Source organism: Homo sapiens, chromosome 2 (assembly GCF_000001405.40).
Source record: "Homo sapiens chromosome 2, GRCh38.p14 Primary Assembly".
Taxonomy (NCBI): Eukaryota; Metazoa; Chordata; class Mammalia; order Primates; family Hominidae; genus Homo; species Homo sapiens.
Window position 1 is genome coordinate 166,081,702 of NC_000002.12, and position 19,422 is coordinate 166,101,123.

Consider the following 19,422-nt stretch of genomic DNA (forward strand, 5'->3'; position numbering starts at 1 on the left):
TCAATAATGTCCTTAAATTCTATGTTGTTTTTAAAGCCTAAAAGAAATTCCCCCTCCTCACTCCCCCGTCTCTCCCTACAACCTGGTGAGACAATTCTCTCATTTTCTCCTCCCAGTTTCCAATGCTATTGTTATGATCTATTAGAATAATTGCTATTATTTTTTTGCCTTATCTGACCCTAGAAGTGATTTACAGGGAAAAAAATTACTAACCAATTGATTAGTGAACTGAATATAAAGTGCAGCTCTTATGGTTTATTCACAGACAAGAATATATATAGTACTTAATGTGATAGTATTTTGTTGTTGATGTGGAACAGTGTTAGTCTATAATACAGGCTTTCAGGCAGACAAGACCTAGTTTACCTTGACCTCTGGACTTCTGAAAGGTTGAGTAAGTTATTTTAAGAGAATTAGACAAAGATAAGTAAATCAAAACCAATAAATGGCAAAGATTTAAAAAACAGAGATTAGTCTATTCCTCTCATTTAATAGAAAACAAACTGAATCAAAGAAAAATGGGCAATTTCTTTGTTTAGAACTTATGTGCTTCCTACTTTCAAAATAAATATGTCATTTGTCCCAGGTTACGCAGCTTATTAATGGTGGGACTTAAATCAGAACTTTTATTTTCTAACTCCCAAACCAGTGTCTGCCAGGTCCTAATAGTTATGAAATATTCTTTTAAAGCTAAATAAAATATATGAAAATATAAGTAGCTGTGTTAAAATAGTATTTATCTACTCTAATTGATCTAGGTCTCTCCAAGGAATTTATATTACTTGGACAGACCCAAAACAAATACAGTAAATAAAGCATTCTGGCAAAAATGGAGACTTCAAAATTTTGAAAAATGGGAGACTCCAAAATTTAAAAAGATGATTGTAATATTCAAGTTTAGAATCATATGATGCAGGTTTTAATCCTGCTGAACTATACCTCCACCGTCAATTTATGTTTTACTTCCGTTATGTTTTATGTATTGCTAAACTGGATTATTTCTAGTTACTAACTGAGCAGATGACTTTATATAATTTATCTGTAACTCCAAAGTTCAATATAGTTGTGCAACATTTATATATCTTCACCACCTTATAATATATAATCTGATGTGGAGAAAAATTATATATCTTCAATTCTGTCTATAAAGTAGTTTAATATCCATACTGAAGAGAAACCAAAAAGACTTCTGCCAAAATGCTTGCCATCTCCTTGTAAAGAGCTATTACTATTCTGGGGACATAAACCATCTGGGCACGACAATTTGTGAAGTGTTTCAGTTCGTTTTGTAGTGTTCTTGCCACCTACTTTACAAAAGAATGTTACTGCCAATAATAATAAAAATAACTAGGTAAAATGTTATTCTTACTGTTGTGATCTCACATAACTATTTTTTAGCAGCCAAGAAAGAAATTGGTTTTTACATAGAAATCCCAAACCTAGAAAGTATTGTTTTATAAATTTCTTTTCTAGAAATAATTTGATTTGGTGTAATTATAATTACAAAAATATTTCATTTGATTTCTCAATAAGCCAATTTTTAGTAGGTTGGGGTTAACTAAAACAACATATTTCAGCCATATGTTTAAAACTTTTACATTTAAAAATAACTTCATTATCTACCCTTAGTTTTTCATGCCTTATGCAAACTGCAGTTAAAATAAGGTCAGATATCTAACATATGTCTGTATCTACATTTGTATACTCCAGGGGTGTTTTTCAAGACACCCTAATAATAAACTAAGAAGTAAAAAATTCATTCAATCTACATACAATACATAGAAATACAATACATAGTTTTTGCCTGAGATTCAGATCTCAGGCAAAAAATTCATTCAATCTACATACAATACATAGAAATACAGTACATAGTTTTTGCCTGAGATTCAGATCTGCCATAGTTTATTAGGCTCTGCCTGTAGTTTTCTCATGAAACACATCAGTATCATTAGGATGATTAATTTCATTTTTTTCCTTACAGAGAAGATTGTCATTAAAGAGTAAGACCATGGATAGTTCACATAATAAATCATGTGAAATTTAGGATCTCTTCTAGACGATCATAGTCAGAATAATTTAAGGGAATTCCTTTGAACAAATGTCATTAGTTTATATCAAGAATATAGTAATGACTGTCATTGTAAGTAAATTATTTAAGTTAACCTCTTTTAGTAAAGTTTTCCTGTTAGAAAATAAGTAATCTTATTGTGTGGGTGAGTGGTCACTCGACAGAGATTTGGGAGGATGTAGAGAGTGAAGTCTAATCCTCGTGACTGTGATTGTGGTTGCAGATTTTGAGATACCAAGTGTGAGGTGATAGGCACTTAAAGCCCAGTGTGGGCCTCCCAGGGCTGTTTAGCTAGCAATGAGAGAGGCACTGCCTATATCCAAGTTGTATATGGCAGGTTTTGCACAAAGTGGATTACTCGAAGAGAAAGCCTAATGGCCAGTCTATTCATCTTCCCCTTTCTCGATGTTCATCTTTTCTCTCCCAGCTCTCCTTTATTCTCAATTTTCTTTTTTTTTTTTTTTTTGCTCAGCCTCCATCTCACTTCCGTTGCTGTCCTCTCCCCACCCCTTCCCACTCTGGACTGTGCCTCTCCTTTGTAGACACTTCAAGTCCATTCTATTTCATTCAAAAACCATGGTCTAGAAGTAACTTAATGTAAACCCACAAAGATGGAGACAGAATGAATGCCATTCTTCTTGCTGCTCTCTCAGACAATGCAGGTCATTTTTGCCTATGGTGCTGGTAAAGCCAGGAGTTATGTAGCTATAAGTAGCAGCCAGAGGAAATAGTGCCTGAGTCAGCAATTGTCTTTTTATTGCTGTGGGGCAATAATGGGAGAAAAAATCAGGCTTGGTACAATTCCCTTTGAAGGAAAAAGATGCCAACACTAGCATTTTAACACAAAATGCTGGTTGGGGGTTGGGAGGAAGGATGCTTACATTCCTTCTTTGGAAATATCTACTTTGATAACCATTTTGGTAAAATAATGCAGTGTTTTCAGTGTGCAAATCCTTTCAGGACTCATGGTTGTATGGCAGACGCACCTGACAGCAATAATTTAAGGGTACCCTGAGAATGACTCTGTGGTCTAAAAAGAATGTGTGTTTGGAAGTCTGAGGTAAGAAATCTGGCTGGAAGTGGCCAACCTGGAAATTTGCTCCTTATTATTAAGGATTTCCAAAGCCTGGTCCATTCCTCAGAATGTGGGCCATACAGTGGATGAAGCCCTTTGTTTGGATTAAATGAATGTTGCTAGGTGGAGAGTGCTAAGTGAAAATGCTATATAAACTGCATGCTTTTTACAAACATTAGTGGTTCTCCCATCCAGCCCACTGCCACTGGACCACCCCTGTATATGAGTCCTAGATAAATCCTATGTCTCCCTTGCTGGCTTCAAGTCTCTTCTTTAGTCTCTTGGCCATGATGCCATCCCTATTGGACTCAATGGTGTTCCAGCACAACAATGGTATGATTAGACTCTGTTCCTGGGAGACATACAATACCCTCCTTTGGTAGGATCTATGTGGAATGTTTAGTCATTAGTGTTATTAAGAAATCATAGTTATTTAATTTATGTTTTAAGACTTTCACCTTTCATTCTCTGAATGTTAGTTAGCTCAGGGTGTGAAATGGTTCAACAGAAATACTTGAGCTGCTGCAGCCAGAAGGATGTTTATGGTGTTATGCAGGAAATATCCTGCAGAATTCTGTGTGGAATTCTGCTCAGAGGGGTTTCTCTTTAGCATAAACTCAATTTAAAAATACTCTTCTGCTCAAAAGCATTCTTATGAAACCACCTCAACACAAAGCAAAACTGTCCAGGCATAGTTGCTGTATGGAGAGATACAGCATAGAACCCACGGGCAGCGGGGCTGAAGCAGAGAAAAACTGCAGGGGAAAGAGAAACAGATCCAGGAACGGGGAGAGGAGAGTGTTGAGCACAAATTAACTACCCTGGGGAATGAGTATCAGGTGTTTGACACTTTCACTTTTCCAAATAACCTGAAGACAAATGGAACCTCCCTGAGTTATGAAAAATTGAGACTAGAAGTATCAGAGCTGCAGAATTCATTTGGTTCAGATTCTGTATATATAAAATCTAGACATAGAACAAGTCTAAGCAAAGGCATATTATCTGCAATGGTTACTATGGATTATTGTTCAGAGAAGAACCATTTTGGTATAGAGAAAGCTGAAAGAACTTACAGAAAATAGGTCTTGAAAGATGAAAGGCAGAGATAATTTCCTGATTCAGAAACTCAGTATATTAAATTTTCTGTATGTTATTTATCATTTATGATATAAAATTATGCTTAATTTATCATGTAAACTGAAAATAAAATTCTAAGCCCCCTGACTGAATTGACCTTCTCCTGGCCAAAAGGATCCCAGAGTAACCTTGAAGACTGAATTCTCAGCCATGGTGGATCAGGGAGTCAGACATACCTCCTTATAACCCCTCCCTCACTAACCACTATGAGGCTTTCTTCCCTAAGGGCTAAACAGAAATCAGCCCTTTCAAAAGACTCCCCCACTGACATGGACCAACCACCTGACACTTTCCCTCCATTGGTGCCTCATAAGAGACCACCCACTAGGGAATGATTCTAGCCATTCCACTGAGAATGTGCAGTAAGGATTTTTGTGTCCTCTGCTTCACCTTTTAATGTCAGAGGGCCGAAAACTCTACCCTCGGATCATGCTAATGTCGCCATTTTTTCCACATGGATCCCACAAAGGGGCATGAAGCTCAGTTGAGGATGTGCATGCTTCTCCTCTCATAAATATTCATGACTCCTCCTATAACTTATTGAACATATATATTTGGCCACCGTGCTTAGCATAAATTTCTGTTTCCTTTTTCCCTCCCTTGAAGTGTCTGTTTCTGGCTTCTGGCTGGAAGTTATGCTTCCCAACCTGTCAGAAGGTCACTCTGCAGGCTGCAGCCCTTTATAAGAAATAAAGCTCTCCTTTCCAAATTTATGAACCTCATCATTCTTCAGGTGATAATCATATAAACGTCTACTTAAGTTTGCTTTCAGTCTGTCATGTGAATTCAGTCATTCTCACTATATTCCTTTTGTGGTATACTGGTCTGGGTTAAAGAGACCCTCTAGGGATTATTATACAGTTTCGTCTTGTTTGAGAGCTCAGCAGCTGATGATTATCACAGATTTGTATAGAGTGGACACTACCAGATGTCCAGCACATCTGTCACAGCAGATGTGACATTGAGCCAAGTCTATTTCTGTCTAGGTGTATGATACTTGGTGCTATACTTTGGATATGGTTTGTCGCCATCAAATCTCATGTTGAAATTTGATTCCTAATGTTGGAGGTGGGGCCTAATGGGAAGTGTTTGGGTCATGGGTGGATCCCTCATGAATGGTTTTTGCCTCATTCTCACTGTAACGAGTGAGTCCTTGCTCTGTTAGTTCTCATGAGAACTGGTTGAAAAAAAAAAAAAAAGAGCAGCCTGGCACGGTGGCTCACACCTGTAATCCCAGGACTTTGGGAGGCTGAGGTGGGTGGATCACCTGAGGTTGGGAGTTTGAGACCAGGCTAACCAACGTGGAGAAACCCTGTCTCTACTAAAAACACAAAATTAGCTGGGCATGGTGGTGCATGCCTATAATCCCAGCTACTTGGGAGGATGAGGCAGGAGAATCGCTTGAACCTGGGAAGCTGGGAGGGAGAGGTTGCGGTGAGCCAAGAGCATGCCATTGCACTCTAGCCTGGGCAACAAGAGCAAAACTCCATCTCAGAAAAAAAGCCTGGCACCCCACCCTGTCTCTTGTTTCCTCTCTGGCCATGTGGTCTCTACCCCACACAGGCTGCCCTTGCCTTCTGTCATGAGGGGAAGTCACCTGAGGCCCTCAATAGAAGCTGATTCTGGTGCCATGCTTCTTGTACAGTCTGAAGAACCATAAGTCAAGTAAACCTCTTTTTAAAAAAAAAAATTACCCAGCCTCAGATATTCTTTTATAGCAATACTAAATGGACTAAGAAACATGGTCTATACAGTCAATTTTGTTCATTTCTTTAATATTTATTGAATATAGACAATGTGCAAGGCACTGGTTAGAGATGTGGAGACTATGAAGTTGGCAAATAGAGAATAATAATATTGAGAATCCTGCAAAGTAACCAAATTGATTTTAGAAGCTCCTTTATGAAATAGACTTTAGGCTTTAGTCTTCTTGGATCTTTACTTGGAAATTTAGGTATTCCTGATTTTAACAGATTCATTTTTTTAAGTCCCAGAGTAGAAGAAAATGGAGGTTGAACACTGAAACATTGACTTTGAAAACTGAACATCTCTGTCAATCCCACAATCTGTGTGTTTGTGTGTGTGTGTGTGTGTGTGTGTGTGTAAGGGTATGAGCTACAACACAATCTTGAATTGTCACTAAACCATTTTTAAAATAATTGGTCAACCACCCATCACATCACTTGTATTCACAATCCCATAAAGTTATCAGACCAGAGTGATTTTTCTCTAATCTAGATGTACATTAAAATGTGCATCTCATTTAAAGATAGTTTTGGTACATCAAAGTGAATGTTGATAAACATGTAAGACAATGGAATATAAAGTTCAATGCATGTCCTGCATTCTCTCCATCTAACCATTTTTGTGGTGCCAATGCCTATTTTCAGGTGTCAATGATGAAGAACTGGAAAAAGATATAGTTAAAACAAAAATTGCTAAAGAAAAAAATGCATGCTTTTTTGGATTCATTTCTACTCTTTCATATCAATATGTTTTCTAACATTTCTTAAGTGCTGAGAAAATTTTCCTTTTTGTTATCCTCAATAGCAGGTGGCAGCTGAAATTGTTCAATTATATGCTTTGTTAAAACCTTATAAATAATTTAAATACTATTATTACAGTCAGCTAAAGCCTATGCTCAAATTATATTTTCTTTTGTTTAAATTCCCAAATATATCTCACCTGCTACCCTACATTCACCCCCAGTAAAGTCCCAAAGCCCGTGGGCTAGGTAGGGCATTATTGTTTTAGAATGTTACCAAGTTGGCCTAGAAGAGTACTTGATTTGTTGCGACAACTGTTGTTGTTCTCTAGGTAGAGTGTTGCGTAAAGGAAACAGTGATGTCCAAAGGGGCTGGACTGGCAGATTGGAAGTAGGGAGACCCAAGGTCAGCATTATGACATGGAGGATATGAGTAACCACCATAATGATTTAAGATATCTGAACAGGGTTGCCAGAAAAAATACATGCCACACAGTTAAATTTGAATTTCAGATAACTGATTTCTTAAAGCATAAGCATACCTCATACAATTTGTTTTATATTTACTATACTTTAAGTTCTGGGATACACGTGCAGAACTTGCAGGTTTGTTACATAGGTATACACGTGCCTTGGTGGTTTGCTGCACCCATCAACCTGTCATCTACATTGAGTATTTCTCCTATCCCTCCCCTAGGCCCCCACCCCTCGATAGGCCCCAGTGTGTGATATTCCCTTCCCTGTGTCCATGTGTTCTCATTGTCTATATTTGGGGCCCACTGCTAGTAAACATTATTCATTGTTTATCTGAAAGTCAAATATAACTGGACAGTTTGTATGTTTAGTTTCCAAATGTAGCAGCCCTATATATGAAGAAAGTCTTCTCTGCTAAAAAAATTATTTTCCTGCTTCCTGAAATTCAATTAATTAGCATTTTCAGTTCAGTTAGCAAGCGCTTCCTTTTAAAAGACAAGTATCTCTGGGAGTACATGAGTCGTTTATGCATCAATGAGACTACTTACTTCTCAATGTAAAATGCATTTCTCACTGTCAAAGTGGGTTAATCAATCAGAGAGAGGGCGTAAGAGTTCTTTTTTTGGTTGACTAGGTAGGGGATGGGGCTGGCTGGGACCTGTTAATTTCAGTGGAAGAATACATATGGATGAATTACTTTTAGTGGGGATTTTCTGATGGAATGAATTATCAATGTGCCAGGAAGAGACTATATAAAAAGATGGAATGGGGGTAGAGAGTGTAAGGTGGTACTGACAGAAAAAACTCACTCATTCTAGGATTTTTCTTGAACAATTAAATACTCATGAGAGGAACCAGTGTTGGGTTTTATTTTTCAAACATGGATGATGGTAAATGTTAAAACCAGTGGCAAGCATATTTTCACATTTCTTTCATTATTAAAAGTATTGATGTAAGATTATCCTCAAATATATGAGTAGTGCATCTTTGCACATTAAGGACTCCTCCTTTATTTTATCACTTCGCTTTAACTCCGTAGGTCCTATACAAACCAAAGAAATTATCTTCCTTCCTTCCTTCCTTCTTTCCTTTTTTTTTTTTTTTTTTTTTTTTTTTTGATATAGGGTATTGCCCTGTCACACAGGCTGGAGTGCAGTGATGAGATCATGGCTCACTGTAGCCTCAAACTTCTGGCCCCGAGTGATACTCACACCTCAGGCTCCTGAGTAGCTGGGATGCATACCAGCATGCCCAGCTGATTTTTAAACTTTCGTACAGGCAGTATCTCTCTATGTTGCCCAGGTGGTCTTGAACTCCTGGCCTCAAGTGATCCTCTTGCCTCAGCCTCCCAAATTGCTGGGATGACAGGCATGAGCCATTGTATCCAGCAAGAAAGAGAAAAGAATTTAAACTTCTAAAGATGAAACTGCTACACGTGGACAGCCATAACAACAAAGAGAAGAGTACTCTTAAGCATTTGTGAAAGTCAGAAACCTATAAACTTTTGGGAAACAAAATAAGTATATTTTCCCTTTAATCTTACAAGTGATGCAATACACTTCTAGCAAAAGTGAAAGGGCAAATAGGAATTTTGCAACATTGAGCTCTCTTTAAGCAGAAGCCAGGCCATAGGTTCTTCACTAGTCACCAGGGTCTACAGCCTTTATTGTCTTTACCAGTCACTAGGTATGAGACATTTTCTCATAAAATGTAACTACTATACATTCGCCACAAACTTTAAACCCCCTTTTCACCTCCCATGGTACCCAGAAGAGTGATAGGTACTTAATAGGTCCTCAAAAATTTTCAGCTAATGAATAATTGTTAATTAAAACTTATACTAGAAGCAAACTCTTAAAACATATTCTAAGTACTAAAGTCTAATATTTTATATCTATTGGTTTATTCATATTCTTGTTTGTTAATCCTAATCAAATAGTGCAAAGTTTAAATTTCATTTTCCTAAGATTTGTTTTAAAATAACACGATTTACCCAAGTGATTTCAAACCACAATTACATTCTGTTTAAATTACTAATATTTTATTGCATCACAATCTGCATGAAACAGATGTCAGGATATAATGAACTAACCTGCATTGTATTTTTATTTTTGTCTCCTGTGGCATAACGATTTCATAGGAAAGAGAACTACACAGCTGACTGACTGATGGGGAAAGTTACACAATGGATAGCTTTGCAGCAACATACTAATGCGGTAGGGAGATGCTGCAGAGAGGCTAGAAATAAAATCATTTCTTTCCGGAGCAGCACTGCTTGCTGTCGGCTGAGACAAAAAAGAGATTTCCTTTTTTTCCTTTCTTTTTTTTGAAAACTCACATAACATTAATTCTGTTAAGCACTGGATACACGGAAAGGTGTTTACCTTAGAAAATCATTTAGCAATTTTTAGAAACTAGACATATAGCAATTTTAAATCTTTTTAACTATCTAATGACCAAAGCAGAGGGTCCTCACAAGAGGGATTTAGATGCTACTGAATTGAATAAAGAAAATATGGATACATTTATTGTATGCCTTATTCAGTTTGAGGTTCATTTTGAGTTTAGAAATAGGGATATAAAAACATCAGGGGTTAAATAGCATGGGTAAAGGACATGAACCAAGCTGCAGAGAAGAGGCTGACTGCCTGCTATATTTGCAGGCATTACTCAGCACTTTTCTTAAACCGATACATCTTGCTGGCTGCATAAGCAAGACAAGACCCTTTTCCCTATGGCTCAGGAAGGCAGAGAAGTCAACTTCAGCCTTGAAAAAGGCAAATACTTTAGTGCAATAATGAAATCAACTAAACGTCTTGTGCTTAATGTTTCTTTCCCCACGCCACTAGAATTGTATGCATAATCATTCTATGCAACATATTGAAGAAACCAAAATGTTTGCCACAGTGTGCTCAGTAATTTTTTTTTGAATGAATGAATAACTGAATTCATGATCAATGCCTTATCCTAGGTCACCTGCTCAGTGCACGGGCTATAGGAAGGGCAAATGTCACTGTCCTTCCCACCCATCTCATTCTAACACAAGTGTTATCATCAAACTAAGGAAACTAAAACATGTAGCCATAAAACAACTGTTTAGAGCTTCATTCAGATAATATTTTTTTCTTTAAAATCCAAGAATGTAATACCAAATTTTAATTAAGCGAAGGCGTCTTTGTGGAGAACTTAAATAATATGGCATATTGCTTTCTGTTTATCTAGTAGAGACTACACTTTGAAAATATAGACCATTGCATTCATAAAAATCATGTGGAGATCTTTTTGAAAACACATAGTCCAAGGTCCCACCTCAAGATTTTGTTTCAGAGATCTAAGGTGGACCTAGAATCTGTGTTTAAACTGCTTGTCCAGGTGATCAGGATGTAGCACTCATAGTTAATGAATGGGCAAATTTTGAGAAACACTGTTTTAGAGAATGGTCTAGGAAAAGCATCCATTACAAATATAAAAAAGCAAGCTTTTGGTACCTAAGGGACTGAGTCGATTCATGCAGGTATTGGTTTGTTGATTAAAGATGCATCCATAATTCAATTAATTTAAATGTTAGAACAGGTCATATCTTTTGGGTTTATTTTTAATTGTTTCGTACAGATGAGGTCTCGCTATGTTGCCTAGGCTAGTCTTGAACTCCTGGCCTCAAGTGATCCTTCTGCCTCAGCATCGGGAGTCACTGGGATTAAAGGCATGAGCCACCATGCTCAGGTAGGAAAAAATCATTTCTTACATGGAGATTTATTTTCTCAACCAGGTAAGTTTTGTGATAAGATCATTAAACTTAGAATAAGAATAGTCAGGTTCAAAATTTGGTTGTAGTCCTTAACAAAACTGTGATATTAAAATAGTACCTTGGCCTTGCTTAGCTTCAATTCTATCATTTATAAAATGGGAATAATTTTTATAATAACACATGATAGGTGCCAACTCAGCCCTCACTCCTTTTTTGAAATTGTCCTCCATGTAACCCATACTGAAAGTATAAACTATGTTTATACCATGTGACTCTTTCACCCCTTTCCCATGGCCACAGCTTGGTAGGTTTTATGAGGACGCTGATCACGGGGCACTCATCTATAGGCTTAACTGAAACAATAGAATTTGCTTTCTGGGTGATGTTTAAATGAAGTAAGAGTGAGTGAGTCAGAATGTTATGAGAAGATGCACTGCATGACCTAGAGTTGAGGATGAGGAAGCTATGTCTGGCCATGACCAAGCAGAGGATATCGGCCAAAGCAGAAAAAAAAAACAGAAATAACAGTAGCCATGCAAGCATTCAGAAAGAATGTAGGCTGTGTTGATATGTTTCTGGACTTCTCATTCCAGTTTAATCTCTTTATGGCTTACTTGGGTTTTGGCCTATGGGATTTTCAGTTGAATTCTTCTTTTTTTTTTTCCTTTGAGATGGAGTCTCACTCTGTCGCCCAGGCTGGAGTGCAGTGGCGTGATCTGGGCTCACTGCAAGCTCCACCTCCCAGGTTCACGCCATTCTCCTGCCTCAACCTCCTGAGTAGCTGGGACTACAGTTGCCTGCCACCACGCCCAGCTAATTTTTTTATTTTTATTTTTAGCAGAGATGGGGTTTCACCGTGTTAGCTAGGATGGTCTCAACCTCCTGACCTCACGATCCACCCGCCTCGGCCTCCCAAAGTGCTGGGATTACAGGCGTGAGCCACCATGCATGGCCTGAATTCTTATAATAAATAAACCATTTTACTTATACCCGCTTAAATGTGCCTTTATGTTTTGAATACAAGTGTTCTGACAAAAGCACAATGTAAAAACACTGAACATAACATGTTCTTAACTTTTGTTTTAAAACAAAAGAAAAAAATGGAGGTTCAGCAAAGTTAAATAGCACAAGTTAATAAAGTGATGACCATTGTCAGACAGTTTGGAGGAAGTTTGAGATTTAAATCCGGGTCTAATCTTTCACAGTTCAATGCTCTTGTTTTAAAACCAGAAATTCAGGCAGCAAGACTGATATTTCATTAGAAACACTTATGACCCCAATATGTTTTCACATTGAGAAACTGAGTCATTCCACTTTTTCATGAAAATAGCTAAAAGAATCCTTATCGGTCAAATCTTTCACACACACACACACACAAAAATGATCTTTAACATTATTTCAAGTACTTGGACAAATACCAAGTTGGGATACCAGAGATCTATGTTATGAAGGATGGATAAAACATCTGATAAGAAAAAAAGAAAGCCATTATTATTACACCTTAAATATTAAATGAGAAAACAAGGAATGACCCTTGGAGAACGACTAATTTTGAGAATTGTATACTGATAGACGTGTTGGAATGGACTACTTGCAAACAGAATCACTGAGCCACTTAATGAGTTGAGTGGTTGAAAGTGTCCTTTTAAATGATCAATTTAGACCCCAGAGAATATCTGCCAGACAGAACAAGTTTTAGTGTAGTTGATAGTAAGTTGTGCCCAGAATATTAAATTGAGTCAAATTTATTTTCCACATAAAGTCACAGTTTTATATGTCATTATATAATCTCTTGGCAGAAATAAGGAATAACATTCTGAATGTTGCACTCCAAAATTCAAAGAATCTTAGTATAAAAATATCTAGCATTTTAGATGTTTCAAAGTAGGGCCAAATGCAGAAAATAAGTTGGATATGATAAAAATACCAGAAAGTTCTATTCAGTTGGCATCTTACTAGCAGTTTCATCTTCTAATAATTTAGTTGCTACGCATGGAGTAGAATAGAATTTAACAACAACAAAAGATCATTAAATACCAATCAACCAAACAACCAAACACCAAAGGACCTATTAAACTTCAACGATGCTCAGTTATACTCTTGAGGGTACAGGGCTATCAGAGATGGGCAGTGTGCTCCTTTCCTGTGTAGTCTATGGGATCTATCTATGTAACCCTCCATGTGCTCCTACCCTTCCCCTTCAGCTGTTAAAAACACAATGCCAAAATCAGGATCAAACAAAAATTGCAGTTACACTTCTGAATTTGGCAACATCTATTTCACCACTCCTTTTAGATCATTTGGTCTTTATTATTCTGCTTTATATTGTATTTGATTTTGTAAGTCAGATCAAATAATTTTTGGAAATAGAAAACAAACAAATAAGCTCCCCATTGCTACAGTTTATACCCATTTTAAATGATTTATCTTTCCATAGGGATAAAAATTCAATTACGTACCCTCCTTGTGACAAACCTCCATACAATTGAAGGCAGTTATTATGTCTCTCTTTAGTTTTCTCTTTTCCAAGCTGAAAAATTTTCAATATTTTAACCCATAGGTATGATATAATTATTTGTATTCCTCTTTTGCTCCCTTCTAATTTCTGCCCAACTTCACTAATCTCCTTAGGGTAGAAACTGTAATAGAATAATGGTGATAAGAACAGTAAAAAGATGATGTCTGATTTTTGTATACATTTCCCTTAGTACGAATTACTGTGTCAAGTTTTTTAGTAATATAATACCTTTATTTAGCCTTTGTCATTGTACAAGCCAGTTTGACATTTTAACAAAGGGGGATTGAAACAATAAAACTGATCTTTAAATATAAAAATATCCCATGATCCCATGATTCTCCTGTTCTTCCTGCTATCAATCAGAAACAACGATGCCTGTTAAATAAAAGAGCCTTATTGGTTCTACCAAATTTGTGACTAATTAGCTTCTCTGCCATCCTGTTATTTGTATAGTTTGTTCTTGGTTCAAAATATACTACACGCTAACCAAACTTGACACTAGAGTCTCACTTGCCTTGATGGGCCAATTCCTAAAGGTTTCAAGGTTATTCTGTTTCCTATTTATACATTCCTCAGAGCTATTAATATCAGTTTCACTTAAAATTTATATTTAATGTCAATACCCAGCATGAAAAACTATTAAATGGTAATAGTCTTTAGATTAATTTAGATAAATGGTAATTAATATATTTTTCCAGGATGTCATAAAATCATCATTACTTACCTTGAACCACTTGAACCCTCCCCTAAAAGCAATATGATACAGATGAATAATTGCAGAAAATTAGGCCCAGATTTATTCTAAAGTTTTCAAGAATTCATAATGTCCCACTCCAGTTTTGGATTCATGTTAAATACATGTCTTACAAACATTCACACTATATTCTTTTTAAATTATACAAATGTAAGTATTTAATAAAATGCAAATTCTCTCAAAGAGTTATTGACTCCACAGAAGACTTTTGAGAGTCAATGTCTATTGTTACTATCAACTGACACTGAAAGTTCAATTTCTTTCATTCATATGGTAGTCCATAATTCTGATATGAAAGTTGGAAATCAGGGATGAAAAATCACTTTTTTTTTTGGTTGTTGTTACAGAGTCTCGCTCTGTCGCCCAGGCTGGAGTGCAGTGGTGTGAATTCGGCTCACTGCAAGCTCCGCCTCCCTGGTTCAAACAATTCTCTGCTTCAGCTTCCCGAGTAGCTGGGATTACAGGCACCCACCACCACACCCAGCTAATTTTTGTATTTTTAGTAGAGACAGGGTTTCACCATGTTGGCCAGGCTGGTCTTGAACTCCTGACCTCGTGATCCACCCACCTCGGCCTCCCAAAGTGCTGGGATTACAGGCGTGAGCCACTGCGCCCAGCCTGAGAGATCATGTTTTTTATAAGAACATATACATGTATAGATATGCAAATACCTTCTTAAAGCACAGATAAGTGGTATCCATTATTTTTTTCTTGATCAACATGACATTTTGCTTCAACTCAAAAGAAAATTACATTGATCTGACAATTTCTTTTCACAAGGTCATAGTAATTTTATTCTATGCTATTCTAGGTGACTATTAATTTTAATATATGTGTGACTTTTTGTTGTTTTTGTTTTGTTTTTATTGAAATTTGAAGATACTGAGTTAAGATGAAAGTCCTAAAGTTCTTCAATCACTTTTCTGAAATCTAGACCTCCAAATTTGCCCTTTCATAAAGTTTACCACTAGACTTAACAAAACACTCTAAGTGTTCACCATTAGTGATGTAAATCTAAAATACTATATACTTCTTTCTTCTTTGTGTGTGTTTTTTTTGTTTTTGTTTTTGTGTTTTTGGAGACGGGGTCAGGCTCTGTTGCCCGGGCTGTAGTGCAGTGGCATGATCGCGGCTCACTGCAACCTAACTCTCCCAGGTTCAAGCAATTCTCCTGGCTTAGCCTCCCAAGTAGCTGGGACTACAGGTGCATGCCACCACACCTGGCTAATTTTTTGTATTTTAGTAGACACAGGGTTCCACCATGTCACCCAGGCTGGTCTTGAACTCGTGAGCTCAAGCAATCTGCCCGCCTTGGCCTTCCAATGTTTTCTTTTTTAACAATTTACAAATGTACAGTGATTACACTTCGTTTCTATTTTTGAAACTTTTTTCACCTTCCTTCCTAGAAGGGGAAACCTATTAATAGTTCTAGAAATCTCAATGCCTACCTCATCCTTTAGTCTTTATTAATTTGTTTTTTCTAAATGCCAGGGTTTGAAAATCAGATAAACACCATCTCTAGAGATCTGCTATATGTTTAAAAAAATGCTTATACGTGAGATTATCTAGACTTCACTTTGAAATAAGAGATATAAAATTATATTTGGTATGTTCAAAGGTACTTGTATTCAATTAAAAAAAAATAGGGTCTTGCCCTGTCACCCAGGCTGGCGTGCAGTGGCATGATCATAGCTCACTGCAGCCTTGAACTACTGGGCTCAAGTGATCCCTTCCTCAGCCTCCTCAGTAGCTTGGAGTACAGATGTGTATCACCTGACCAGCTAATTTTTAAAAATATTTTGTAGGGACAGGGTCTCACTTTGCTGCCTAGGTGGATCTTGAACTACTAGCTTCAAGCAATCCTTCCACCTTGGTCTCCCAAATTTCTGGGATTACAGGCATGAGCTATCACACCTAGCCTCTATTTGAAGTTGTATTCTAGAGTCTTGTAGAATTAGAAAACTTTTATCTAGATAAATAGAGGTCATTGTAGAAATATTTGTATGCAATCTGCCTTGTTTGGATGAAGTTTTCTTCTCTTGCATTTGTAACAATTCACAAGAAATATCTATCTGTCTATCAAAATCTGGCAGAGACACAATGAAAAAAGAAAACTTTAAGCTAACATCCCTGATGAATATAGACACAAAAATCCTCAACAAAATACTAGCAAATTGAACCCAGCAGCACATCCAAAAAGCTAATCCACCATGATCAAGTAGGCTTTATTCCTAGGATGCAAGGTTGGTTCAACATATACATATCAATAGATGTGATTCATCACATAAACAGAACTAAAAACAAAAAACCACATGATCATCTTAATTAAGATGCGGAAAAGGCTTTCAATAAAATTCAACATCTCTTCATGTTAAAAACCCTCAACAAATTAGGCCAAAGCATAAGAGCCATCTATAACCAACTCACAGCCAACATCATACTGAGGAGGCAAAAGATGAAAGCATTCTCCCTAAGAACTGAAACGAAACAAGGGTGCTCACTCTTACCACTCCTACTCAACATAATGCTGGAAGTCCTAGCCAGAGCAACCAGGCAGGAGAAAGAAATAAAAGGCATCCAAATACGAAGAGAGGAAGTCAAACTATCTCTCTTTGAAAATGATATGATTTTATACCTAGAAAACAAAACCCCACAGTCTCTTCCCAAAGGCTCCTAGATCAAATAAACAACTTCAGGAAAGTTTCAGGATGAAAAATTAATGTACAAAAATCAGTAGCATTTCCATACACCAATAACATCCAAGCTGAGAGCCAAGTCAATAATGCAATCTCATTCACGATAGCCACGAAAAGTATAAAATACCTAGTAACACAGCTAACCAGGGAGATGAAAGATCTCTACAACAAGAATTATGAAACACTGATGAAAGAAATCAGAGATGGCACACACAAATAGAAAAACATTCCATGCTCATGGGTAGGAAGAATTAATATTGTTAAAATGACTATGCCACCCAAAGCAATTTACAGATTCAATGCTATTTCTATCAAACTACCAATGTCATTTTTCACAGAATTAGAAAAACTATTTGAAAATTCATATAAAACCCAAAAAGATCCTGACTAGCCAAAGCAATCCTAAACAAAAAGAACAATGTCTGAGGCATCACACCACCCAACTATAATACAAGTCTACAGTAACCAAAACAGCATAGTACTGGCACAAAAACAGCTTATCCACCACAATCAAGTGGGCTTCATCCCTGGGATGCAAGGCTGGTTCAATATACGCAAATCAATAAATGTAATCCAGCATATAAACAGAGCCAAAGACAAAAACCACATGATTATCTCAATAGATGCAGAAAAAGCCTTTGACAAAATTCAACAACCCTTCATGCTAAAAACTCTCAATAAATTAGGTATTGATGGGACGTATCTCAAAATAATAAGAGCTATCTATGACAAACCCACAGCCAATATCATACTGAATGGGCAAAAACTGGAAGCATTCCCTTTGAAAACGGGCACAAGGCAGGGATGCCCTCTCTCACCACTCCTATTCAACATAGTGTTGGAAGTTCTGGCCAGGGCAATTAGGCAGGAGAAGGAAATAAAGGGTATTCAATTAGGAAAAGAGGAAGTCAAATTGTCCCTGTTTGCAGACGACATGATTGTATATCTAGAAAACCCCATTGTCTCAGCCCAAAATCTCCTTAAGCTGATAAGCAACTTCAGCAAAGTCTCAGGATACAAAATCAATGTACAAAAATCACAAGCATTCTTATACACCAACAACAGACAAACAGAGAGCCAAATCATGAGTGAACTCCCATTCACAATTGCTTCAAAGAGAATAAAATACCTAGGAATCCAACTTACAAGGGATGTGAAGGACCTCTTCAAGGAGAACTACAAACCACTGCTCAAGGAAATAAAAGAGGATACAAACAAATGGAAGAACATTCCATGCTCATGGGTGGGAAGAATCAATATCGTGAAAATGGCCATACTGCCCAAGGTAATTTACAGATTCAATGCCATCCCCATCAAGCTACCAATGCCTTTCTTCACAGAATTGGAAAAAACTACTTTAAAGTTCATATGGAACCAAAAAAGAGCCCGCATCGCCAAGGCAATCCTAAGCCAAAAGAACAAAGCTGGAGGCATCACACTACCTGACTTCAAACTATACTACAAGGCTACAGTAACCCAAACAGCATGGTACTGGTACCAAAACAGAGATATAGATCAATGGAACAGAACAGAGCCCTCAGAAATAACGCCACATATCTACAACCATCTGATCTTTGACAAACCTGAGAAAAACAAGCAATGGGGAAAGGATTCCCTATTTAATAAATGGTGCTGGGAAAACTGGCTAGCCATATGTAGAAAGCTGAAACTGGATCCCTTCCTTACACCTTATACAAAAATCAATTCAAGATGGATTAAAGATTTAAACGTTAGACCTAAAACCATAAAAACCCTAGAAGAAAACCTAGGCATTACCATTCAGGACATAGGCATGGGCAAGGACCTCATGTCCAAAACACCAAAAGCAATGGCAACAAAAGACAAAATTGACAAATGGGATCTAATTAAACTAAAGAGCTTCTGCACAGCAAAAGAACTACCATCAGAGTGAACAGGCAACCTACAAAATGGGAGAAAATTTTCACAACCTACTCATCTGACAAAGGGCTAATATCCAGAATCTACAATGAACTCAAACAAATTTACAAGAAAAAAACAACCCCATCAAAAAGTGGGCAAAGGACATGAACAGACACTTCTCAAAAGAAGACATTTATGCAGCCAAAAAACACATGAAAAAATGCTCATCATCACTGGCCATCAGAGAAATGCAAATCAAAACCACAATGAGATACCATCTCACACCAGTTAGAATGGCAATCATTAAAAAGTCAGGAAACAACAGGTGCTGGAGAGGATGTGGAGAAATAGGAACACTTTTACACTGTTGGTGGGACTGTAAACTAGTTCAACCATTGTGGAAGTCAGTGTGGCGATTCCTCAGGGATCTAGAACTAGAAATACCATTTGACCCAGCCATCCCATTACTGGGTATATACCCAAAGGACTATAAATCATGCTGCTATAAAGACACATGCACACGTATGTTTATTGCGGCATTATTCACAATAGCAAAGACTTGGAACCAACCCAAATGTCCAACAAT

The 19,422-nt window shown here is 37.1% G+C and overlaps 1 protein-coding gene and 1 long non-coding RNA gene across 19 annotated transcripts in view; one reads left to right on the forward strand and one right to left on the reverse strand.

The window, feature by feature from the left end:
• SCN1A (sodium voltage-gated channel alpha subunit 1) overlaps positions 1 to 19,422 on the reverse strand; it is a 164,521-nt gene that overhangs the window by 97,061 nt on the left and 48,038 nt on the right. The gene's annotated exons all lie outside the window — the stretch shown is intronic.
• Positions 1 to 19,422, forward strand: part of SCN1A-AS1 (SCN1A and SCN9A antisense RNA 1) — a 220,254-nt gene that overhangs the window by 171 nt on the left and 200,661 nt on the right. Inside the window, exon 2 of the long non-coding RNA NR_110260.1 lies at positions 10,852 to 10,962. This is a non-coding gene — a long non-coding RNA (SCN1A and SCN9A antisense RNA 1). The remainder of the gene's footprint in view (positions 1 to 10,851; positions 10,963 to 19,422) is intronic.